Here is a 26,191-nt window from a genome sequence, read left to right as displayed (position 1 = left end):
TTGGGAGAATTGGCATTTGCTGACTGCCTCCTGTGGGCCAGGCTCTGGGCCAGACATCCACATGTACTATCTCACGGGTTTCTCACAGCCTCTCTGTAAGACAGGTGTTAAGTCCATTTTGCCAATGACCCAACACAGCACAGAGAGGGTAAGTGACCTGCACAAGGCCACACAGCAGGTGAGTGGTGAGCTGGGGTTCATATGCAGGCATGCGTGAAGCTTGGGAAGCTCAGCTAGACCACAGATGAACCCTCCTTTCTCCCCCACACTGCGACCCTTCCTCACCTGGCTTTTTCATGATGGAGGTGCATACAGAAATTACTTTTTATATCCCAATGGAAACCCTAAAGGCTCAGTGAAAAACATCATACACTATTAATCAGGGCCCTCAATCAGAAGCAAGAAAAACAAGGAACTCCAAGTATCAAAAGCTTCATTTGCTGACCAGAGTCCCCACAGGAAGGAGAGTTCTGGAAAAATAAATGTTGACATTTGACACCACAGGAGCACCAATTTAAAAAGGCACTTTAACCAAAATTGACTTCACAAAAATCAATATTGAAAAATCAGACTTGGATTCCGATGAAATATCAGTCTCTTGATGTTTATTGACTTGGGTAAATGTTGGCATTTTACAGCCCAGAATTAAAATAATAGAATTTTAGAGCTAGACAAGACCTCTGAGATCATCCTGTTACCTGCCTGCAAATCTCTCTTTCTGGGCTGTACTTAATGATCTTGTTTTTATTATGTTTAATTATCCCTTCTTAAACTATGTTTAATTTTATAAATCTCCCTCAAATCTTGGTTCCATGGGCACAAGGCCTAATAAATTTTTTCTGGGGCAGGGGTGGGGGGTTAAAATTTTATTTTGTGCTTATATTTGCCTTGCTTCTTACAGGTTTCTTTTATTACCTTCTTTTGGGTTTGTCTATTTTTATTATTTCTGTTTTCCTTTTGCTAGGGAGTTATAATGTTTCTATTCTTTTAATATTTACCCTCAAAATTGAAAATATATAACTTCTAAAATTTTAAACTTAATATATGTATGCTCATTACAGGCAGTATAAAGATCTTAGAACACTTCACTTCACTTTTCCCCACCAACTTATGTTCTTATTGAATGTTTTCTCTTTTTCCTTTTTTATAACTATTTTTTAAAAGAAAAGTCAGGCCAGGCCTAAACTAAAGCTGTCAGTTTATAGAAGAGATCATTGGCAAGAAGGGGAGTGACTTGCCTTAGGTCACAGAGTTGGGACCAGAAGCCCCAGACAGTCACACTGGTGCCTCACTTTCTCCTCTGGGCCTGTCTCTTCTGGAGTCTTTCTGTCATGATTACATCAAGGAGGGAGTGAGGAGCACTTAGCAAAGGCTGGTTCCCCAGGGCTGCTGGGGAGGTGGTAGCCATGTTAGGCAGATGTCAACTGGAGAGAGAGGAGCAAGAGACAGAGAGAGACACACTGAGAGAAGCACTCACAGAGACAGAGAGGGAGACAGAAAGAGAGATAGAAGCATACCCAGTGACAGAGATAGACAGAGAGAGAGAGAGAAATAGACAGAAATATTCAGAGAAAGAGACAGAAAGAGTCAGAGAGACAGAGAGAGAGAGAGAGAGAGAGAGAGAGAGAGAGATGCAGCAGACCTTTTTTTTTCCTTTGCATGGAGGCATCTTTTGTCATTGCTGCAGGGTAAGATGCAGAACATGTCATTAAATTAGAGATACTATTGTTTCATCCTAACATGCTTTCATCTGCCTAATTAAATACCGCGCACAAACCCCCAACTATTGTGATCGAACAATCCCCACAAAGTCAAGATTACAAAAAGGGCACAAGTCTAGTAATTATGCCAAGTGTGGTTCCCCTTCCGAGGGTGCCTATGATTAAGCCATTTAGAGGGATCTTGTGGAATAAAGGTGGATGCCCTTCATGAAGTCTGAGACCAGAGAACTGGAGCTGCAGGATCGGTTAGCCCTGAGCCTGACAGCCATGGGGACACAGGCCTCTGATGTGGGTAAAATCACGTTTCTTCATGATGGCAAGAATAAGAACCACAGCTACTCTTTTTTGAGCACTTTCTATAGACCAGGCACTGGGCTAAGCTTTTTCTGTACCCATTTTTTATCCTCACAGAGAAGCCAATTGGATAGATGTCATCCCATTTTAATAGATGAGGAAACGGAGGCTCGGAGTGGTAAGGGGACTTGCTCCAGGTCATACAGACTGCAGGTAGTGGGGGCATCACTGGGTGCAGATCTGTCTGGCTGTAAGTCCACTCTGGCCATGATTCTTCCATCACTGCCTGTGGTCTTGTTCTGACTCCACAGTGAACTTGTCTCTGCTGTGACTTTAGTGTTGGGTTTCGTGAAGCTTTTTTTTGTGTGCCAACAAATGGCCTAGGTCTCCTGCATTCACTAGAGGAGTGGTTAGGATTCTCAGGATCGTGACTGGAGAGGATCTAATCAGAGAATCAAGGCCAAAGAAATCCCTTTAGGGACCCAAGTTCTCTGACTGTGCAGGAGGTTCCATCTCCCTTGTCATTCCTTCTGCTGAATCTTGGTATTTTTGTGTGGTCCACAGCAATGTCTCTAATGCGTATGCTTTCATTATGATTCCAACAAACACAAAAATGTGACTATGAGAATAAAATCAGAAACCTTAGAGGTACTTGGGGCTCCCAGTCATTCAGTGTCCCTGCTCTCCCAGGCTGCATTTGCGTCTCCTTGTCTAGACATCCTCAACTCCTTTTAGGATTCTCTCCCTTAACTTCTCATGCTGCCTTTCCTTTCTCTGGGCCCCATTTCCTCACCCCTCCAGATCCTCACCTCCTTTGGGGAGCAGCTGGGTCTGGCTTTCCTTGGTACCCCTGAGCACCCAACCCAGAGCCGGCACCCAGTGCATGTTTAGTTTGTGGCATAGTTTAACATCCATTCACACGCACATCTGACAGAAACTTGTGATCATCCATCATAAAGAGAATTTATCGTGGTGGATTGGGAAGTTATTTAAATGCAATGCAGCAGGGACCCAGGAAAATTCTAGGTCTCATTTATACCTTCAGAATGTGAATGGAGGAGAGTGGTTAGAACTGACATGCAGTACCTGGGGAAGCCTGGAATGTAGATATTTAAAGTGAAATACACTGTCCAAGGGATTGCAATTCATGGTTCTGCATTTTGAGGGCAGAGAAATTAACAAATGCCTAAATCAGAAACTTTAGTTTTAAAATGTAGAAAATATATTCATACATCAATACCTCACTTATCCAGAGAACACAGATCCAGTCACTTCATCTATCCAAAACCCAGCTGACTCTGTGGATCTCTAAACTGCCAAAGTAGAAGACTTTTCTTTCTTTTTTTTTTTTTGAGACGGAGTCTCACTGTCACTCAGACTGGAGTGCAGTGGCGCATTCTTGGCCTACTGCCACCTCCTCCTCCTGGGTTCAAGCGATTCTCCTGCCTCAGCCTCCCGAGTAGCAGGAATTACGGGCATGCACCACCATGCCCAGCTAATTTTTGTATTTTTAGTAGAGAAGGGGTTTCACCATGTTGGCCAGGCTGGTATTGAACTCCTGACCTCAAATGATCTGCCTACCTCGGCCTCCCAAAGTGTTGGGATTACAGGCGTGAGGCACCGCATCCGGCCAACTTTTCTTAAGGCTCATTCGGTTTGTCTGGGAGCTCTGCTTCGGGCTTCTCTCAGTTCCTAGCTGCACTTGTGTTGTGTACTTTTCTTACCAGTTGTATTATCTTTGGTTTCCAGACTACAGCAAGTCAACCAATTAGGAACAAGTGTAGGGTTGATAGCCAGCAGCAAGAAATGGCAGCTTACTGCCTGACCCGGAGGGTGAGAAAGGGAAGAAATGTCAAAGACCCTGAGGATTTGAAAAGCATGTTGGAAAATTAGGATGGAGGGCAGTGTAACACCCCATACCCTGTATCTTCCCTGGGGACCACATGTGTTTCTGGCAGGTCCATGGCTTGAAATTCTTAACCGTTGTTTGGATTTGCTAAGTCATTTAACCTCTCTGAATCTCAGTTTCCTTATCTATAAGATGGAAATAGTAATTTATCAGCTTTCTACGTGTCAGACACTGTTCTTATTTCTTTGCATGTGTGAATTTAATTCTCACAATTTACCATGAAGGAAGTACTACTTATTAGCACTAAGCAGTTGAGGCACAAACAGGTGCAAACTTGCACAAGCTCACCTAGTTCATAGATGACAGAACTGGGATTGAGAGGCAGGCAGCCAGGCTCTGGAGTCACATTCTGGACTGTGGCTTTTGTTCTGGGAGCAATGACCCTCCCTCCCACACAGAGCTGTTTAGAGGGTGAAATTAAATATGTATCAAGGAGTCCAGCACAGTTCTGGGCACACACTGAGTGGCCTGGAAGAAAGGATCTGGGCTATGTACAGCACCATGTGTTTTTTGAGAGCAGGGGGTCGACACCGATTATTCCTGGAGGGTGAGATTGGAGGCAAGGGAAGTGGGGAGCAACTTGGCACCTCCTGCTTTATCCATGACTGTATTGTTGGACTCTTCTGGAAGCACGTTACCTTAGCAATTTCAAAATATCCTGGGGGTGGGGAGGAGAAAGAATTTTGGACAATAAGGGCATGTCTAAAACCTGCAGCCATGTCTAAATTGCATTTTAAAAATTAGTCTTTCAAACATGGCTTAAGTTGGAGCACTTAATGATATACGCTTTATTATGTAGAACTTCACTTCTGTGGAACAGCTGATGCCTTTTCACTGGTCTGCTGTGAATGCCACCTGTTACTGTGCTGAGATAGGCTTGTGGTCCTTCCTCCTTTCCTCAGTAAATCTCACACCAGGAGGACTCTCTGTGCCTCTGGGGTCTACAGCTGAGACATCCAGACCATCTGCATTGACCGTGTGCTCTAGTGTGTCTCGCATCCTGCTAGGGGCTGGTGATTCAGGGGTGAGTTGGGTGGCATCCTGCCTCAGGAGCCTATAAAGTGAGAGAGGCAGAGGTGGCCAGCCAGCCCAGGGCTGACCTGAGGTTGTCCCTGAGTGGGGGCATTTCTTCTCATGGAAGGATCCATCAGAGTGGTGTGTCAGCTGAACAGAGGGAGATGAAGGATTTTTATTGAAAAGGCTACAGGACAGAGAAGCTGTTCCAGGTTGAGAGAACAACAGGCAGAGGGAAGGTTAATATACCCTGAAAGTCTGTTTCTGGGCAATAGCATCACTGAGACCTGTGTTAAAAAGAGCCAGCTCCTGGATGAATTGAGTTTACAGTCTCCATTTGTGATCAAGTTCTGCAGGGTTGATCTTCATGCATGTCTGTCTCTCTCCCTCCCTCCCTCCCCAAAGCATCTTTTTATCCTTCTCCATTCTCCTTTCCCCCTTCTTCCCTCCACAGAAACAACAGCTATCTAGAAGTTAGTTCTATGTTTCTCATCTCTATTGTTATATCTTACTGCAGATGTACATGTCCATAAACAATCTATAGTATTTTTAAGCTTTATGTAGACATCATACTATATATAACATTCTATAACCCATTTTGTTTTACTCATTTTAATTTGTCTTTTATTTACTTAATTAATTAATTTATTTTTTTGAGACACCGTTTCAATCTTGTTGCCCAGGCTGGAGTGCATTGGCGCAACCTCGGCTCACCTCAACCTCTGCCTCCCAGGGTCAAGCAATTCTCCTGCCTCAGCTTCCCAAGTAGCTGGGATTTACAGGCGTGCACCACAATGCCCAGCTAATTTTTGTATTATCAGTAGAGGTGGGATTTCACCATGTTGACCAGGCTGGTCTCGAACTTCTGACTTCAGGTGATCCACCTGCCTTGGCCTCCCAAAGTGCTGGGATTACAGGCGTGAGCCACCGCGCCCAGCCTAGTTTATCTTTTAATAGGTGGTTTTAATTGGTTTATATTTATTGTGATTAGTGATATATTTCTACTCTCTTATTTTGAGTGTTCCTTCTGCCACTCCCCCTTTTTCCTCTGCTGATGTGGTTATATCCTTAACACTTTAGCATATATCCTAAATTAATTTCTTTTTTTCTACTCAAATCTATTGCTATTCAATATCATTCTCCTTTACTGAATCTGATGAGAATTGTAATCATGCATCACAACCCACTAATACCTGTTCTATCATTGTTTCCTAGAATTTTGGTTCCAAAAATTTTAATTGTTATTATTTTCGTGTTACAGTTAGTAGTTCATTAACTTTGCTAACACATTTTCCTAATGCTTTTGCTCGCCACTGTTTTTTGTGCCCTATTCCTTCTTCTGAGTTCCCTTTTCTTCTGGCTGAGTTCATTCTCAAGTTGTACTTAGCGCATATGGTGAGTGCCAAGGATGGTCAACGCTCTTAATATTTGGATGTCTTAAAATGTCTCTGTTTTCCTCTCACTTTTGAATACTGCTTTAGCAGAGTTCAGAATTCCAGGCATGCAGTTACTTCCCTGCAGAATTTGTCTTTTGGGTCTCTTGTTACTGAAGAGATGTCTGCTGTCCATCCAGTTATTGACTCCTTAGAAACTGTCTTTTTCTGGTAACTCTTGAGGCCTATGCCTGGAACAGGCTTCCTCTCGCTTTTATCATATTCTTTTGGCCACATCAAGTCACAAGGCCAGCCCAGATTCAAAAGGTAGAAAGTAGACTCCACCCTTTTTTTTTTTTTCTTCCCCTGAGACAGTGTCTTGCTCCGTCACCAAGGCTGGAGTGCAGTGGTACAATCACGGCTCACTGTAACCGCAATCTACTGGGCTCACGCGATTCTTGTGCCTCAGCCTCCTGATTAGCTGGGACTACAGGTGTGTACCACCATGCCTGGCTAAATTTTAAAAATGTTTATAGAGATTGGGTCTCATTATGTTGCCCAGGCTGGTCTCGAACTCATGACTTCAAGTGATCCTCTCACCTTGGCCTCCCAAGGTGTTGGAATTATAGGCATCAGCTGGTGGTCATGGGTGCCAACTCACCTTTTGATGGTAGGAGAGTCAAAGTCATTCCAAAGGCTATGGGTATAGGAAGGGGTGAATAACTGGCCATGTTTGCATTCCATCTGTCACAGTTTTCCACCTTGTCCTGCCATCCAGAGCGTGCAGCTTCCTGTGGGCTGAGGCAGCAGGTAGCAGTTGGTAGAACTTCATCCCAGCTTTCCTCTAGAGCAGAGGAAGCCCTTCTCTACCTGCTCTGCTCCAACCCTTTGCTTCAAATAGTGAGCTTGACTATAGTTCTCTTTTGCATTGATTGTGGCTCTGGCCCCCGCCTTTACTTGGGCGTGCTATGAGTCTCTGTTACCCCAGAGAATTCTCAATGCCAGGCACCTCTGTCTGTATTGCACTCAGAGCCCATCAAGCCTGCAGCCTCATCTCCACTTACCATGTTGTGGTTTTTTCCCCCCTGAGAATTTTATTTTTGAGTAATGCTATGTCTTTAAATTTTCTATTTTTGTATTTCAGCTATCATTGCTGTGTGTTTATTACAGCAAGGAGGAGGAGACCTCAAAATGTGAATTTAATTTGCGATACCACCTTGGCTGGGATTCTTTTGTTTACTTTCTTCATAAAACAGTGCTTGTCACATTCTCCAGGAAACAGATGAGGCTGTGACAGCACATTAGAATGTACATAACTGTGATAGTGAGAACAAAAGTGCAGACTCTCTGGGTTAGAAGCGGCCCTCTAGTGCTTGAATCCCTCCTCAGCCTGTCACACAGGTGAGCATCTAACACCTGGACAGCTCCAGGGCTGGCTGACCGGCCACGTTTCTGTTGCATCCAAGCATAGCCCTGGCTTTGAAAAAAATGCCGTTATTCTCCAGCTGGTGCCTGTCTCCCTGCAGCTTTCTGCCCCAGCCCCCATATCCTAGTTCTGGTCCTTTCCTCTGGAACCAAACACACTGCATCTGTGCTCTCTGCCTCTGAGAGCCCCTCAGAGCTGTGCAGGCCATGCTGGGCCTGAGGGGGCCCTTCTACTGGCTGAACAGTTACAGGCTCTGCAGCCAAGACTCGTGGGATATAATTGGCTGTCCTCTCTCCAGACTGGCTGACTCTGGGGACAATCTGCAGGTGGTCCCTTCTCTCTTCCTGGGCAGGGCCCAGATAGAGCCTCAAAGATGGGTTTGGATAGACCAACCAGAAACTGAGCAGGCCTGTTCTCCACCTCCTTGATTCTGGAATGAATCATTCTCCTGGTGTAGCCTCCAGCTGTGTTGTGAGATGAACTCACATGGCTCCTCGGTCAATTGCCATTCATTCATTCATTCACTCCTTGGGCGCATCAGGGAAGCAGTGCTGAACAAGGCTGCCATGGAACGTGAGGTCTAGTGAGGCAGACAGATGTAGTGTGACCACAGCCACGAGGGCAAGGTACCCGGTGGTGGGAGTGTGCGTGGCTGGGGAACCTACCCAGAATTGGGGAGGCTTTTCTAAGAAAGTGGTGTGTGCTCTGAAGAGCACTTTCTCGTTTTCTTAACATTTCCAAATCCAGATTTTCAAGAGAGAAAATCTCTTCCTTGCCAGCTCATTTTTCCTGGGCCTACAAGGTTATGGGTCAGCAGCTAGCCTATGGCTTGGGTTTACATACCTTGTCCAGTTAGCTAGGCCTGGGATATAGGAATCTTCCAATTTCATTCATTCATTCATTCATTCATTCATTCATTCATTCCTCGGGTGCACTTGGGATGTGATGAAGGAATCCATAGCAGTTTTCATTGTTGGAGAAGCTCAAGTAGGAAATAGTTAGGGCAGGGATGGGATGGGGTGACAGTAAGTGTGGTGGCTCCATGCTGAAGGAGACATGCAGCTACAAGGGACTGTGAGTGAAGCCTAAGACACCAGGGTGAGCAAGGGACAAGGTAGGCAGTGGAAATGGCAGCGGCCATGCCACAGAGGGCCTTACAGGGCAGGAGGCAGGGGGTGGCATTGATCTTTATCCCAATCTTTATCTCCGGGGGGCTGAGGAGCCCATTGTTGGGTGGAAGTAGCCCAGTTGGGAGAGGACAGGATGGTGGTTCTGTAGGCAGCGGGGAGGAATGACCTCCCTGGACAGAGGGAGACTTGAGAAAGCAGTGGAAGGTGGGGAGAGCGATGTCAAGGAGGCACCTTGTTTTTTTTGTTTGTTCGTTTTTGTTTGAGACAGAGCCTCATTCTTTCACCCAGGCTGGAGTGCAATGGTGCAATCTCTGCTCACTCAACCTTTGCCTCCCGGGCTCAAGCAATTCTCCTGCCTCAGCTTCCTGAGTAACTGGGATTAAGGAGGCACCTTGTATTTGCTTCCTGTGGCTGCCAGAACAAATTGCCACAAACAGGGTGGCTGAAAACAGCACACGTTTTTTTTTTTTCTCACAGTCCTAGAGGCCAGAAGTCTGAAATCAAGGTCTTGGCAGGGCCAGGGTCTCTCTGGAGGCCCTGGGGGAAAACCAATCCTTTTGTGCCTCTCCCTGCTTTTGGTGACTGTTGGCATTCCCTGACTTGGGTCTGCAGGGTTCCAATCTCTACCTCCCTGGTCACATTGTCTTCTCTCTTCTGCCTGTCTAGTCTATTTCTGCCTCACTCATGAGATTTATAGCCTACCTGAATATTACAGGATAAGCTCCTCCTCTCAAGAACCTTCACTAAATCACATTTTTGCCATGTAAGGTAATATTCCCTCTTTTACCATATAAGGCAGCATTCACAGTTCCAGGAGTTAGGGCATGGATGCATATTTTTGCAGGCTGCCTTTCAGCCAGCGCAGTGCTAAGGACCTGACTATAGAAGTGAGCCCTCACGTAGTGCAGGCTGTGGGCCAGGCTCTGTGTCCTGACTGCTCCAGATGGGTTGACTCATTTTAAACCTCATGAAATAGGCACTATTGTCATCCTCTCTTTATAGGCAGGAAACTGAGGCTCAGAGAGGTTAAATGGGCCCACTGTCACGCCACCAGGAAGCCACCAACTGGGAGTTGAGTCCAGGCAGCAGTTTCTGGAGCGCTTGGCAGGCTGCACTGCCCTCCTAGGCGGGGCGGATGGAGGATGGGTGCTGTTCACTGAAATGAGGCATCTGGGAGAGGGGCGCAGGGAGGACAGGAGTTTGGTTTGGGGCATGGTGAGCCACAGCCCCTGACATCCACGTGCTTCTGTGTCCCCTTCATTGCCAAGTGCAGCCTCCGTGTCTGGGTTTCTGATCTTGGCCATGGCCCCTCTGCCCTTTTGGCTTGTGGAAACAGCCTCCCAGTGCTTCGATGGCAAGCCCTCTTCAGAACCACTAGTGCCACTGCCCAGTGTCCTGGCCCTGAGCCTGGGTTTGGAGCTCTCAGCGTCCACACAAACTGAGTAGGGTAGCAGACGGGGCATCACAAAGACTTTGAGGATGTAAGGGCTGTGCCACTGGCACCCAAGGAGCCTGGAGCCCAGCTCTGCCCCAGGCCACTCCCAGCAGCCCCACCCTTCTGAGGGGGCCGAAAGCTGGAGGCCCTGAGCACCATCTCCCCTGAACCATGCCTTGCTCACTGCTAAAAACCCACCTTGGAGCCCTGCCCTTCAACCAGTTTTGCCACTCATTGCTTAGGGCTTAGGGCTCAGCCCACCCAGATGGGTTATAGCTGGGAGGGGTTAGGTGCTCTGTTATGTGGAAAAATCACCCAATGAAATGTCAGGAGACCATTCCCACTCCTCCCCGACGTTCACTTGAAATATGGGCATGCTTTGGATTTCATAGATGGAAGGGTAAGGGCATTCGAGGTGCGAGAAACTGCAGGGAGGTGAGGAGCAAAGGCACAGAAATGGGAAAAGATAAATTCTGCTTGGGAAATGCCAACTGCAAGATGACTGTGATGTAGGGCACCTGAGGTGGGTGACAGAGGGGCTGGAAGGGGGAGTGGGGGCAGAATTCAGGCTGTCTGGGATGCCAGTCTGTAAGAGATGGAACAATGGTTTTATAAGAAATGATTCTATGTCAATTGCAGAGATTCTCCACTGATGCATGTTGTTTGTACATTTTTTTATATCACAACATCGTTTATTATGTGAATTTTTTACAATACAAACAAAAAATACAGAAATGCAATATATGATTACAGCTAAATGCAGAATGGTGACTTTTTTCTCTTCAAGAGGCCGTGATTCCCATTTCTAGTAAAATTAAGAGACTGCATATAGGTAGAAACAGGTTGGTCATTAGCTTCACAATTTTGCCTAGAAATGATCTATAAATGCATTTTCCCCCTGCTACTTACCATAAAGTGTAAAAAGGAGTTAAAGAAAGTTTCCTTGTTGGTTCCTACCATATGAAAGATGCTATATTCTATTTCAGCAGGGCCAATATGTGAACACTATCTAAATTAAATGTTATTACAAAAATGAAGTAGTAATGAGATTCTGGCTAAAGAGTGCACTAAATGAGAATAATATATATTTAAAGAATCCAAAACAAACAAAAAGAAGTTGTTATAAAAAAGCTCTAGGTGCACTGTAAGCATATAGGGTTTTTTTTCCATGTGTATTTTTAAACAATGGAAGTGTCAAAACATAGGGTCAACTGTGTTAGACTAAATTACATTATTGTATATACTGCATTGAATGGAACCTTTGTATTATAATTATCATAGAGAAGCATAGTTTGCATCATATTATGGCCTTTTATCCTCAATGAAAACCTTCCAGAGTCCTTTTATTTTGGAATATCTTGTAAACAATCAAACCGTCAGAACATGATTATACAACAGTAAAATGTTATCTTGCATTCAACTGAAGATAATCTGTTTAATAAAAAAAGAAAAAGAAAAAGTAGGAAAAGTAGAGCTGTTACTTTCTAAGTACACAACACCCTAGACAATTGACGGCATCTTAATCTCCATCAAGAACAACAACAACAAAAATAATGTGTGTCATGCTCTTAAATCCATCATTATAGATAAAACTGGCTCAAATTGGTCAAACGGATCCAACAAACACTGATGTCCAAGCTGGCATATTGGCAACTAATACGTAACTGGTGGTCAATAGAGAGTTTAAAAGATCTTCCTTTCTTCTTGTTCTTTTCCAAGGTTCTCGAAGAGTTCGTTGTTCTAAAATACGTTGTTGAGCTTCCCAGTTTGCTTTCTCATCCTCTAACTGATGACGTTTTTCCTCTAATTGTTTATGCTGTGCTTCCAAATTCCTTTTCATTTGCTCATGGTGCCGCTGGAGCTCAGCTTCAGAGTTCTTCAGTTTTGAACTTTTTCTTTGACCTTCATCTCAAACACCTGCTCCATCTCCAGCTCCATCTTCTTCATTTTAGCTACATGCTCCCTTCTTTCTTCTTCCATTTGTGCCGGAGGGCTCTTGGTCAGCTGCCCTTTATTCTTGTTGTTATCAATTCCATTATAAGTCACAGCTGCCAGTTTTCTGCTTCTGTAGTTCTCATAGTGGACATTATTAGTAACCTCTTTCAAGTCCTGCATGTGTGTTCTTATCAACATATTTCTTAGAATTGTAAAATCACAGTGTTCACCATTTTCAACTTCAGCAATACCCCAAGGATGCTGCTTTCCTCTGATCATTTTGCCATTAACTTTGATGATAGTATTACTACCTACCACACCAACAGGTAAATGGTCCTTTATCTTTTTAACAAGTTTATTTTCTTCTTTATTATGTTTCTAGAAATTCATATATTTTAATTTTATGTTCTTGGGTTTCTTTCATTATCTGTTTTTTAAACTGTTAGCATTCCTCTGGTGTGAGTGTGTCTTCTGTGGCAATAAGTGAGATGATACTGTTTCATGCAAACGCTTCATAAACTCAATATTCAATGGTTTAAGTCCATGTCCTGAAGGAGCAATGAAGTATAAACAACGCTACACCGTTATCAGGCATCTGACGTCCGTTCACATGCGATTCTGCATTTACGTAGTCCTCAAGTTTATTATCAATGTAGTCGATTGTAAGGCTGCCAGCAATTACTATTATCCACTGCATCTCCAAATCCTGGGGTATCAACTATTGTGAGCAGCAACTGAACACCACCTTCTTTGATTAAAACTTTGGATTGTTCCACCCACTACCATAGCGTGAATCAAAACCAGATCTCTTAACTGATTTTCTGTATACTTGGTTTGGGAGATTGGCAAATCCCACATAGCCTTCAGGGGTCTTCTGTTGAGCTACCGAGCGACATGGGGCGAGCAGCGGTTTGGATGCAGGCGGAGCCGCGGGCAAGCAGGAAGAAGATGATTCTTAGGTCTGAATGCCTAGGAATTCATGTGGATCAATCAGACCTCCCATGGTGCTGCTGTGGACGCTTCTCTCCTCAGCAGCAGTGGCTCTCGCACTGTTTGTACTTTTTTTTTAAAAAAGGAAAGTTATCATAAAAAAATGATAATAGGTCAGGCACGGTGGCTCATGCCTGTAATCCCAGCACTTTGGGGGGCCGAGGCGGGCGGATCACTTGAGGTCAGGAGTTTGAGACCAGCCTGACCAACATGGAGAAATCCTGTCTCTACTAAAAATACAAAATCGACCGGGCATGTTGGCACATGCCTGTAATCCCAGCTACTCGGGAGGCTGAGGCAGGAGAATCGCTTGAACCTGGGAGGTGGAGGTTGCGGTGAGCCAAGACTGTGCCATTGCAGTCCAGCCTGAGCAACAGAGTGAGACTCCATCTCAAAAAAAAAAAAAAAGAAAAAAAAAAGATAATAGACACCACAGTGCTTCTGATGTGCCAGGCATTATTACAAGCAGTTTGTATGTATTTACCCTTTAAATCCTCACATGAGGTGGGACTGTAAACTAGTTCAGCCATTGTGGAAGACAGTGTGGCGATTCCTCAGGGATCTAGAACTAGAAATACCATTTGACCCAGCCATCCCATTACTGGGTATATACCCAAAGGATTATAAATCATGCTGCTATAAAGACACACGCACACGTATGTTTACTGCGGCACTATTCACAATAGCAAAGACTTGGAACCAACCCAAATGTCCCTCAATGATACACTGGATTAAGAAAATGTGGCACATATACACCATGGAATACTATGCAGCCGCAAAAAGGATGAATTCATGTCTTTGGTAGGGACATGGATGAAGCTGGAAGCTATCATTCTCAGCAAACTATAGCAAGGACAAAAAACCAAACACCGCATGTTCTCACTCATAGGTGGGAATTGAACAATGAGAATGCTTGGACACAGGAAGGGGAACATCACACACCGGGGCCTGTAGTGGGGTGGAGGGACGGGGGAGGGATAGCATTAGGAGATATACCTAACGTAAATGACGAGTTAACGGGTGCAGCACACCAACATGGCACATGTATACATATGTAACAGACCACGTTGTGCACATGTACCCTAGAATTTAAAGTATAATAAAAAAAATCCTCACATGAACTCGAGGAGAACAGTTCCATTATCCCGAATTACAGGTGAAGAAATGGGATGCTACGAGGTTAAGTGATGTGCTGGAGTCTCATGACTAGTCTGCTTATGTCACGCAGTTTGAAGCCTCAGTTAAAGAAAGATGTGAATGTGCAGGGTATCCTAGAGGCACTCCTTGCCATAGCCCCAAATGGCAGCAGCAGTCCCTAGACCCTTAGAAGATCCATTAAGAAAAGGAAGTGGGCCCCTGAGGAATCACGGTGATTGCCGACCTCAAGCTGGGCTTGTGGGTTTCCCCATCACGTTCATGTGGGCATACAGTAGCTCTGTAAGGCAGGTGAGAGTCCGTAGCCTGAGATACAGATGCAAGCTTAGCCTCAGGGTGGCGAGTGGCCCACTGCAGATCTGCAGTACCGTCCTGGGGAATGGCAGCTTATACCAAGGCCACCTTGCTCCACCCTTTCTGAAAATCCCCGTGTTCATGCTGAGAGCTGTGCTCCCCTTGTTGCCTCCAAGCTCTGGGGCTCACAGCACCTGAGACTGGCAGGGCAGGTGCAGTTGGAAACCTGACCTGGGGATGGCTACTCCGCTGTTGCACTGTACATCCCTGTGGAGGCCTCAACAGAAGGAGAGGGGCATTGCTGCCCTGGTTTCGTCTCATGGGCACACCCTGACTTGTTCTGCCTTTTGGCCTTGCCATGTACGTATCTTGTCTCCTGGCTGATGGCAGCTTCCATGTCATTAGGGGTGATGTGGGTGGGAGACCAGGAGGGCAGGGACCACGTCAGCCTTGGCTCTTGGTCCTTAGCTCTGGTGTGGTGAATGGCATATCATGAGGGCTCAGTCATTATTTACTGGATCAGGGAAAGAATGATTGACTCCTGGGAGATGAGGGGTCTAGATTGGAGTACCAGCCCCGCAAACAACTAGTTGTGAGTCCTCAGGAAAGCCACTTAATCTCTCCGAGCCTCAGTTTGCCATTAGTAAAGTGGGTGTGATAATGTTTGTTTTGAGTGTTACAGATGACTATCAAGGGGAAAATGTGTGACATATCTTTGTAACCTAGAAAGGGCCTTATATAAAGATCTTTCTCACCAGCATTATGATTCTTATGATTACCATTGTTGTCTCTATTAGTATGAGCATCCAGCCAGCATTAAAAACAAATGCATATGTAAGGACCAATCTTCCAGTGAGTGTTCCAATTTATGCAGGTGTTGGTCAATCAGTAAGCAATTTCTGAGGCCCTACTCTGCCCAGCCTTCTACATGTTGTGGGTAGAAGGGAAAAGCATGACAACACAATCTTCTGGAACAAAAGCAAACATTCGGAGCCCAAAGGATGGCTGGTGGCTATTTTAGGAAGGGTGAGGGCGATGTTGGAGCAGAGACCAAGACACTGAGAACTTCGGTGAACCTGCAGTCTGTGACTCCATAGAGCTGCATGGATGTCCTGTCCTGCAGAAACTGTTGCTCAATAAAGCCGATGAAATGGATGTGTGTGGGAGGTTGGGTGGGGGAATAAGCAAAGCTCCTTGGCAGGAAAATGAGCTGGCGTCTCAAACTTTAGTGTGTACCCGGATCATCAGGGATGTGTATTAAAAATGGAGCAGCCCTAGAGATTCCGGTTTGGTAGGTCTGGAATAGCGCTTGGGAAGCGGCATTTTACCAAGCCCCCAGGTGGTTCTGACGCAGTGGTCTGCATCTTTGAAAAGCACCACCCTGTGCCCGGGCGGGTCTCCAAGCCTCAGCTTCCAGCTGTCAAAACCCAGCCAAACAGAGCTACTTAAAAATGCACAGAACACAATGAGAGAGCACACATCTGAATTCTAGGTGATATTTTCAGATGGAACGGGACGTTATTTTTGTCCATGTTGGTAGGAAGGTTCTTGGGGTTTAGTGAACCAGAGCGGAGTCTGTTGCTCCATGCTGCTCTAATTATGGTCCCTGAAGCTCTCAGTGGGAAGTAAGAACCAGAATATTCTTTCTGAAGATCTTGTGTGCTACCCTGGAAGGTCTGTTTTGCAAAATTAATCAGCTTTGGGCCAGTTTCTTATCTTGAACCGTTTGAGATTTCTGAGCTGCAGTTGCAGAAAGCATGCTTTGGGAAAATCACATCTTTGTGTCTTTGTTTCTCTAGTGCACTGGTGGAGCCTGACTTGTGTGCCAGGCCCAGGGTGGGAGGCAAAAATCAGAGAGGTGATCCTTGCCCTTGAGGGAGGACAAAAAAAGCAAACGTAGAGCTGGAGCATGAAGGAGAATAAAAGAAGTGTTGTTGGAAGGTTCAGTAAGGATCTTGAGAGAATAATATCAACCAAGGGGAAACTGGATAAGAAATCAATTTCAAAATTTCCAGGATGAAACTGCTCCCTAAAAAGTAATTAGCGATATTAAATTCCTCCTCTCTCTAGCATGAATGAACCTTGGCCATTGAGGAAACACAGTGGAAAAGTTCCAGACCAAATCCTTTGCCTGAGAATGTCCACCCAGATCTTAGTTGTAACAGGACAATGAGGAAGTTGCTGGAAGAATGATTTCCAGCCTTTGGGGATCTTGTTTATCTTTCTGAAACAGGGAATGCCTTGGCAAATGAAATGAGGTGCTCTGTAGGAGACGGGGCAGAGAGAGTGGGGGTATTTATTGACATGAAACCCATTTCTCTCTTAGTCCAAATTTGCTGAGCATTCAGTCTTCTTAGCAACAACAAGAATACCAGCAGTAGTCCCTTGGGGGTGGCCAAGTCCTCGTGTTTCCAGAGCCTGTGTTTTCCTGTGTCTGCCGGCCCTCCCTACAGCTAGATAAGGAATCACTACACTTTATAGATAGGATTGGAAGGCCCAGAGAAGCAAAGTGACTTGCCTAAGGCCACACAGCTGAACCCAGGCCATGTCTGCTCCTGCCTGTAGCATACTGGACTCTCCAGTACAGACTATGGCCCCACGTTGTGGAATCCAGTGAATGTTTGGGTGTTTCAGGGAAGACTGTGACAGGCACAAGGTAGTTTGCTAAAAAAAGAAACCGAGCATCTCCGTGAGAACTTGCACTCTCTTTCCTCCAGTTTTCTCCCCTCCCACTGAATCAATTAACAATTTCAAATTGTTCCCTAGTGCTTGGGCAGGTTTGTTTTAGGATTATTATGATCATCGTTATTGCAGGGTGTGCTTCCTGAGCGATATTAAAATGAGGAGTTGTAGGCTGGGTGCAGTGGCTCGCGCCTGTAATCCCAGCACTTTGGGAGGTCTAGGAGGGAGGATCATTTGAGCTCAGGAGTTCAAGACCAGCCTAAGCAATATAATGAGACATTTACCATTTTTTTTTTTTTTTGAGACAGAGTCTAGCTCTGTCACCCAGTGGTGCGATCTCGGCTCACTGCACCCTCTGCCTCCCGGGTTCAAGCGATTCTCCTGCCTCAGCCTTCCAAGTAGCTGGGATTACGGGTGCCTGCCACCACGCCCAGCTGATTTTCGTATTTTTAGTAGAGACGGAGTTTCACTGTGTTGGCCAGGCTGGTCTCAAACTCCTGACCTCATGATCCATCTGCCTCGGCCTCCCAAAGTGCTGGGATTACAAGCGTGAGCCACCGCACCCGGCCACCAACAATTAAAAAAAAAAAAAATTAACCAGGCATGGTGGTGCAAGCCTGTGGTCCCAGCTACTCAGGAGGCTGAGGAGGGAGGATTGCTTGAGCCCGGGAGGGTGAGGCTGCAGTGAGCTGTCATCACACCACTGCACTCCGGCCTGTGTGACAGAGCAAGACTCTGTCTCAAAAAAATAACAATGAAAAAATAAAGAGCCGTTCAAGTAAAATCTTTCTAAAACCAACTCAGCAACTCAGCTAAGGGTCTTCCCTGTGGTCACATTGTTTGTGCTGTACTTGACTTTGGCAATCGCAGGCAGCTGGGGCTTGACATCCACTACCCCACACTTGCATCTCCAGGCTCAGCCTGGCAGTGCCCACCTGAAAGTCACTCACAGCTTCCAGTGGGAGATGGGAACAAACCAGGAAACATTCACAATGACCAGCCCTTGGCCCATACTGGCCTTAACAGAGCTTCAAGAGACCATGGTGCCCTGAGGAAAATAAGGGTAAGTTTTTAACAGAGCTGACTTTGTTGTTTTAAAGAACACCCTTCACTTTGAGATGGTGCCTTCCCTTCCCTCCTCCTCCTTCCTTCTTATGTCCTTTAAAAAATTAAATTGTGGTGATAGCAGACATTAGGATTTGTTTATTGATTTATTTATTTCATTTATTATTTTCTTTTTTTAAGAGACAGGGTCTCGCTTCATCCTCCAGGTTGGAGTGCAGTGGCATTTTCATAGCTTACTGCAGGCTCCAACTCATAGGCTCAAGTGATCCTCCCGCCTTAGCCTCCCAAGTAGCTGGGACTACAGATGTGCACCGCCATGCACGGCTAATTTCAAATTTTTCTGTAGAGATGAGGTCTTGCTGTGTTGCCCAGGCTGGTCCCAAACTCCTGGCCTCAAATGATCTTCCCTTTTTGGCCTCCCGAAGTGTTGGGATTACAGGTGTGAACCACTGCACCCAGCCCATGTTTTGTTTTTTAATGTCTTTACTTGAGAAAATAAAATTTGACAATCTACATTGGTATTCTGATACGTTTTGTTTTGTTTGGAAATTGTGTGTTTTATGACAGTCTGAGCAGCACTGTTATTGTTGTAGAAGTTTGTATGAGGTCAGTGGGGCACAGGGTGGAAGTGGTCAGTCCTGTTTACTGGGATCAGGGAGGATTTGGAGCAGAAAGTGACATGTGAGCTGAGCCTTGGAAAGCACAGTAATAGGGTGCTCACCGGGGGACCAGAGGGCCATGAAAGCCTTTTGATCAGTGAGGGACATGATAAGCTTTTCATTTTAGGGAGATCACTCTGAAGGGAGGTGACCAGCAGAGGGGAGGTAGCAGGCCTGGAAGCAGAGTCACCTGCCACAGTGAGGCCAGACACACGCATGTGGCGGTGCGGTGCAGAGGCTGGCACGGTTCCGTGGATACTCAGTGAGTAGAACGTACGGGACTTGAGACTGGCTAGGTGTGAGGGGCCACGCAACGATGGAGTCTTGGACGGCTCCCAGTTTTCTGCCTTGGGGAACCTGCAGAGGTGAACGTTGATACTAACATGAATGCAAATAACAATAGTCATGGTGACAGCTGATGTTTACTGAGCCCTTCTTTGTACTGGGCACTTGCTGAGCACCATGCCTATGCAGAAGGCTTATGCAGAGAAAGCAGGTTTCTCAGAGTCAGAATCTAGAGCCCCTCTCTCACCCAGTCACATCTGTATTCTGCCTTCTGGGACACTGACCACATTTTAGGGGAAGATGGCCAGTCCAGGTTTGGACCTGTGGGTCACCCAGGTGGAGATGTGTGGTCTGGAGCTTCAGGGAGGTGGAGGTTGGGATTTGGGGTCATCAGCCTACAGATGATGGTTGATGCTATTGGAGCGGGGAGGTCAGCTAGAAATACTCCCTGGGAAGAAGTGCTCTGCCCAGCAGAGAAGGAGGAGCTGTTCCATCTTTGCAGCCCTGATGCCTGTCATCTTAGCTGTGATTTGGGCCTCTGGTTGTATATTTCCTGCAGATGTGCCTGGAATCATTGAAATGAGAAAAGGGGAGATTTGGGGGGCTGCACAGCCCTTCCTTGTTCTTCTTATTTTTTCTTGAGCTTTTTATGATGGATGATTTCAGATGCATGCCTCAGTAGAAAGAGTAGGATAAGCTGCCTCCATGAGCCCATCCCCCAGCTTCAGCAATTAGCCAGCGCGTGCCTGCCCCTTTCTTAATTGACTCTTCGCATTCCCACTCTCTGCATCCAGGCAGTTTCTATTAATACTGTGGAGCTCCTGCTCTGCCCATTTCTCCTACTGCCTGCTTTAGCCAGACCGGGCTGGTCAGTCCTCAAACTGCCTTGTACCCACCCCCATCTCTCCCTGGCATTCCTACCTCACCTTCTAATTCAGACACTGTGCTGTCCCCCTCTTCTCAACTTGGCCAAAGCCTCCTGGTGCCATGCGGGGTGGGGTCCCCAGGTCTGTTTTGTGTCCTGAGTTTACACCTAAGCCTCCTTGGGCAGGTCACTGTATACCCGCATGCCCTGCTCAGAGCCCGTCAGCACCACTGCATACTGTGTCTGAGGGGCCTGGGGCCACATGCTCCGTAGGACAGAGGTGGCCCCCTCAGCCTGGGATTGAAGGTCATGTGTAATTCAACCTCCATCAGGTCAGGAGAAAACACTGGCCCCTCACCCTGTGTTGAAACTTTAAGATTCCCCTGGTTTCTTGAGAGGTTTTGTTTTGTTTTCTCTGTTCATTTGCTAAACAGGCCTGGTATGTCCATTGCAGGTCCCAGGTTGAGAGGACCCAAGGTGATGGAGTGAGGCCCAGCCACTATGGCAAGGCCCTCAGGGGGCTGCTCTAGTCTCCTGGTGTTCATTGTTCTGCTTGTCTACAGAACCTTCCATTCCAACAAAATGTGCTAGAAGCCCACATATAAAATCTCCAGAAGGGAACCCTTCTGGTTAAATGGTGGTGGGGACTCAGAGCCTTGCCCAGTAGGGTCATGCCATGTCAGTCTTTCTTCAAGAGGCCTCCTGAGGAACTGAGTTTGAAGCCCCTAGGTTGGAGTCCTCACCTTCAAGGCCACCAAAGATCCCACCCAGGAATGAGGCCTTCTCTGCCATTCCCCACAGATACAGCAGCTGGGGGTGCCCGTCTTGTCTCCCGGTCAGCCTGAGCTCAGTGCCAGGCCCAAGAAAGATGGCACAGGCATGGTTCTTGCCTTCAGGTAGGTCTACTTCAGAGGGCTAAGGAGGTAGGGGGCAGGGGAGCCATTTATGTCTATAAGAGGCTTGTTAATAAAAGACAGAGTGAAAACCATATAGAGGACATGTGGTGTACTGTGATGGAACAGGGAAAATTCTGCCCATCTCACGTGGCCTGTAGGTGGGCTTGGAGGCTGGGTTGCTGTGTGATGCCGCCTCCTAGGTAGCCAGGTTCATGCTCGCTGGATGAGCTTTTAGGTCCAAGTGTCTGCCAGCCATGTGGAAGCCCGTTCCAGATGCTTGATCTGCTGTGTGCGCACCCCTGGTTGGGTGCTGCTGTGACAGCTGAAGACGAAAGTCCCACCCCACCCGCCCCAAGTTAGATCTGTCGTACAGACACTGGTTACGCACGTTTGGGGATTTTTTTTTTCTTCTTCTTTCCTATGTGAAGTTTTAGTTTTTCAGTAAACAGTAATTAAAACAAATGTACACAGAGACAACAATGCCGCATTTTAATTTATTTATTTCAGCTGACTGCACCCGCCAGCCTCCTAGCAAAATTCCTTTGTTTTCTTCTTTATGCACGATATTAACAATAGATCTCCCTGTGTAGTTTTGTGTTCACCCTGTTTCTAGAGAGTGTGGAGGATGCAATGGGTGTGGCGTATGAATCTCATACTTTCTACCTGTAGAGTAGGTGATGCACTTCCTGAACTGTGGAAAATGAAGACGCTCCTGTCCTTCCTTTTCAAAAGCCTGCTCCTCCAAGATGTCTCTCTGGCCTCCTCAGTTCTAGTCACTGGCCTCTTCTAAGAAAGAAATTTTTCAGGTGGATGTTGTCATTGAATGAGCCTAGCTTAGGGCACAGCTCCTAGAACTTGCTTATAAGTAGGCTGGGCGCAGTGGCTCACACCTGTAATCCTAGCACTTTGGGAGGCCAAGGCGGGTGGATTGCCTGAGCTCAGGAGTTCAAGACCAGCCTGGGCAACATGGTGAAACCCCATCTCTATTAAAAATACAAAAAATTAGCCGGAGGTGGTGGTGCACACATGTAAATCCCAGCTACTTGGAAGGCTGAGGCAGTAGAGTTGGCTTGAACCCGGGAGGCAGAGGTTACAGTGAGCCGAGATTGCACCACTGCACTCCAGCCTGGGAGACAGAGTGAGACTCTGTCTCCATAAAAATGAAAATAAATAAAATAAAAAGAGCTTACTTATAAGTGAATACTCTCTTCCCTGCTCTTCCCAATCATCTACCCTTCCCCTCCCCAGCATTTTTTCTTATTGCTCTGAGTGCATTGCTGGAAATTTCCTTACCTGTGCCCTCACCCCAGGTGGCTCTGGGGATTCTGGGAAGGCAGTGATGCTTGCTGCCACTTCATCCTTGAGCCCTCCAACCACCAAGATTCATGAGGTTGTGGGTGAGTGCACAGACAGGCTGGCCTCAAGCCCAGCTTCCCTCCTGCTGTCTGTGTGTCCTGGAGTTGGTTATGTAAACTCTTTGAGCTTCTGTTTCCAACTCTGTAAAATGGGGGTTGCTGTGGACATGCAGCTTCATGAGATGATGCTTGTGAAGTGTGCAGGATTTTCCCTGCCACATAGCAAGCTTCAGGAGTTCAGTGCCATTATTATTATTTCTGGCTGCTGTTATTGCCACCCTAGTGGGCACTCAGCCCATGCATGTTGTCCCTGGCATGTTGTCCCTGGCATGTTGTTTGTGATCACAAAGTTCCCAGCATAAGAATAAAATTCTGTATGCTCTGTTGTGCAGGAGAACACACACATTTTTTGCCATCTATTTTAGAGCAACATGTATGGAATCTTGGTGGGGTGGCCTGAATCCTAGGCTGACGGGTGGGGGCCTGCAGATCTCAGATAAGCTGCACCACTTGGGTTCACAATGCAGTGCTTGGCCCAGACAACCCCTGGGATCCCTTGTTGACCTAATATTTCCTAAAATATGAGTATCTGGAGACTGAGCACAGCATAGGGGTGGGCCTTATCAGCTCCTGCTAGGGAAGGCGAGTCAGCCCTGGGGTTTCATGCAAAGCTTCGAGGTAGTCGCCTGGCCTCCCTCAGTGCTTGCCTAAGGCTTGCAGGCTTTGGGGAGGGGAGCTGCCAATTCCCATGCATATTGGGAGTAGGGATGCTGGTGGGAGGTCTTACCTGCTGCCTGCTCTAGCTGTTAAGGGGAGGGGGTCTTGCAGAATCTGTGACTCTGCCCCTCCAAACGCGGAGGCAGCTGGTGAATGGAGGCTGTGTTTTGCAGAATGCAAGCGTAAGGATGGAAACAGAGCCCTGGGCGGCAGGGTCTAAAAGCCTGGTTGTCATGTCAACAGATTGGCCCAAAATAGTGAGAAATAGCAAGGGGCAGGTCCCCATATGGTCCTGTCGTGACCACATCGCCGGCTCCTTCCATGGCAGGGCTGGGCTGGGCCAGGCTGTTATAGGAATAAAATTGGGAGGGGGGCTTTGAGGATATCCCCCTACCATTTCCTCAGGAGGGACCAGAGAGGGCAGGTGTGGTCCTGGTCCTTCTTAGCTATATAAATGTGAAGCCCGAGAAGGGAACCCATAAGCCAGAGCCCCCACCCCCAAGGCTGTGCTGTGACTGCCTTTATTTCCCCCATTGGGAAAATTCAGCAAACAGGTAGGAGCACTCAGTGTGTGCAGGTGCAGGGGTCCTGAGGCAGTACATGGAACAGCTAACATCTCCCAAGTGTTCACCGGTGCCAGCACTCTTTCCAGCCCTTTGAATGAATGAATTCATCTGACCTTCACCATAACAGCATAATGTAAACACTATTATCATCCTCGTTTATGGGGGAGGAAACTGAAGCTAAAAGTTTGCCCAAGGTCCTTCAGCTAGTAAGTGGGATACTTGAAGTCAGACACCTGGCTCAAGCCAGACCCTTGACCATTAAGCTACAGAGATGTAGGAGACAGGGTCTCCATGGGCCTTCCCCAACAGAGGGTGCTGGCTCAGCCCATGGAAGGGGCATCTCACCTGGCAAAGACTTCCAGAAGAAAGCAAGATGCATGGACTTGGCCAGGCAAAGGGGATGGGACACAGGTGTCATGGCAGAAGCCATATACCCTCTTAAGGGTTTGGGGACCTGTGGCTGGGGAAAGAGGACTTATGGCTGTGGGAGGAGACCCAGATTGGCTCATCTCCATTGCTGTGTACTCTGGGCAACCTCCTTCTCTCACGCAACTCATTTCCTTATAAATACAACCTCCAGCCTCCTGTCTATCCAGGAATTGGCCCTCTAGATATGGGGCCATTTTGTGCTTTTGTATATCATTATTTAGTTTCATTTTGATTTCTCTTTAGTTTTTTTGTTTTTGTTTTTTTGTAAAGTATCATTTGGAAAATGCTTTCCTGACCTGGCAGAGAACAAAAGCATGGATTCTCTCTCCCTACCAAGCTCAAAGAATAGGGAGGAATGGGCTGGCCATGTGGCTGACTTCTCCTTAAGCATCAAGACTCAGCACAAGTACCAAGCACCCCGCCCCTGCAGGAAGGCTTCCCTGATTCCTGGCACTACATCTGGTGGCCGGCTCTAGGCCCCACACTCTCTGCTGCCCCTTTCATCATATGCTCTCCCATCTGCTGCAGTCTAAAAGTTTCCTTTCCCCCAAGAGTCATATGTTGAAATCCTAGCCCCCAAACTGATGGTATTAGGAGGTAGGGCCTTTGGGAAGGGGGGTGATTAGGTCACGAGGGTGGAGCCCTCATGAATGGATTCTGCCTTATAAAAGAGGTACAAGGGAGCTTGTTCTCCCCTCCCACCATGTGAGGACCCAGCCAGAAGGCGCTGTCCATAAACCAGGAAACCAGCCTTCACTAGACACCAAATCTGCTGGCGCCTTGATCTCAAACTTTCTGGCCTCCAGAACGGTGGGAAATAAGTTTCTGTTGTTTCTAATCTGTCCAGTTTGTGGTATTTTGTGATAGAAGCCCAAGCAGACTAAGACACCATTCTCTGCGGTGACTGTGCCCTCTCTCATCCCCGCTGGCACGTGAGCTCCCTGAGAACCGGGCTCTGACCTGTTTCCTCCTGTTTGCCAAGTGCCTGGCAGATCTCAGCCTGAAAGAGATCCTCAGTAAACGCCTAGCACATCAAACTGAATAAATTCAGCATTCATGGTTAGCAAAGGGCTCGAGCTTCTGCCCCATGCAGCTCCCTCGAGTGCCATGGTTAGGGCTTCCCAGCATTACTTCCCTGTTATACAAAGGGAGGACCAGGCTTGTGAGCTCCCCTATCAGATGTGGACTTTGACTTTCACCTCTGGGGATGGGCTGCCCTGTGCAGGTCTGCACCTCCCTCTGGCCTTCCAAAGGCTGCTGCTCTTCAGATTTTGCCAGCCATCTTGTTGAGGGGTCCTGCCGAGGGGCTTCCCCAGAGGCGGTTATGCTCCTAAATGCACTGGTCCCAAACTGCTGCCTCAATGAGCCATAGGAACCTTCCCTGGGCCCCACCCCTCCAGCAAATTCCTCTCCCAGAGCCCCTCCCTTCCCCTCCCCTCCCAGCACTTGGTGGCATCTGTTTGCTGGTCTGTCCGTCTAGCAAGGTTCCAAGCTGAAACCCCTTTGCCCCCTTTCCTAGGCAGGGAGAGGCCTCACATTCTTCCGTGAATCCAGGGGCAGCACCAGGCGTCACCCCCTGCGCAGGCAGTGTCGTGATGGGCTTGGGGACCCCTTAGCAGGCTCTCAGCCACGGGGTGGGAGGCGGGCCAGAAATGAGTCCTGGGGCTAGACACTGGGAAGGTGCATTAGGGCTTCAGATGTAGAGGAGCTGGGACCTGGGAGCAGGATGTTGAGATGGGAACACAGCTGTGCCCAAGGCTGCTTGTGCAGCCTGGACCCCAGAACCCCCTTACAACCTCCAAGTGTGGGCGACACTGTGCCTGTGGGATCAGACCTGAGATGTTGGGGTGTTGGGGAAATCGCCTCTGGGATGGGCCTCTGAAAACAGGTGCCTGCAGCAGCTTGTGATGCAGAGAGGCGGAAGGACTTATGCCAGGCTTGGAGAATTGGAGCCCTTGAGTAGAGTCCCTCATCACAGTGATGTGTGACAGTAGCC

At 47.2% G+C, this 26,191-nt stretch overlaps 1 protein-coding gene and 1 pseudogene across 1 annotated transcript in view, besides 2 other annotated features; one reads left to right on the top strand and one right to left on the bottom strand.

Moving 5' to 3' along the window:
- The window catches only part of GABBR2 (gamma-aminobutyric acid type B receptor subunit 2), a 420,827-nt gene that overhangs the window by 88,817 nt on the left and 305,819 nt on the right, over positions 1-26,191 (top strand). The gene's annotated exons all lie outside the window — the stretch shown is intronic.
- Positions 8,673-9,665: an enhancer, noted in NCBI's record as "H3K27ac-H3K4me1 hESC enhancer chr9:101372736-101373728 (GRCh37/hg19 assembly coordinates)". NCBI's record gives its function as "activates a minimal SCP1, AML or CMV promoter by ChIP-STARR-seq in primed H9 embryonic stem cells {active_cell/tissue: H9 hESC(primed)}" and the evidence as "EXISTENCE:reporter gene assay evidence [ECO:0000049][PMID:30033119]".
- SEPTIN7P7 (septin 7 pseudogene 7) lies at positions 11,683-13,289 on the bottom strand (annotated as a pseudogene).
- Positions 16,778-17,072: a silencer, noted in NCBI's record as "tiled region #14650; K562 Repressive non-DNase unmatched - State 22:ReprW". NCBI's record gives its function as "represses a minimal TATA promoter and a strong SV40 promoter by Sharpr-MPRA in K562 cells {active_cell/tissue: K562}" and the evidence as "EXISTENCE:reporter gene assay evidence [ECO:0000049][PMID:27701403]".

Source organism: Homo sapiens, chromosome 9, assembly GCF_000001405.40.
Source record: "Homo sapiens chromosome 9, GRCh38.p14 Primary Assembly".
Classification (NCBI taxonomy): domain Eukaryota; kingdom Metazoa; phylum Chordata; class Mammalia; order Primates; family Hominidae; genus Homo; species Homo sapiens.
Note: the sequence above shows the minus strand (reverse complement) of the source record. Positions and strands in the feature narration are given on the sequence as shown.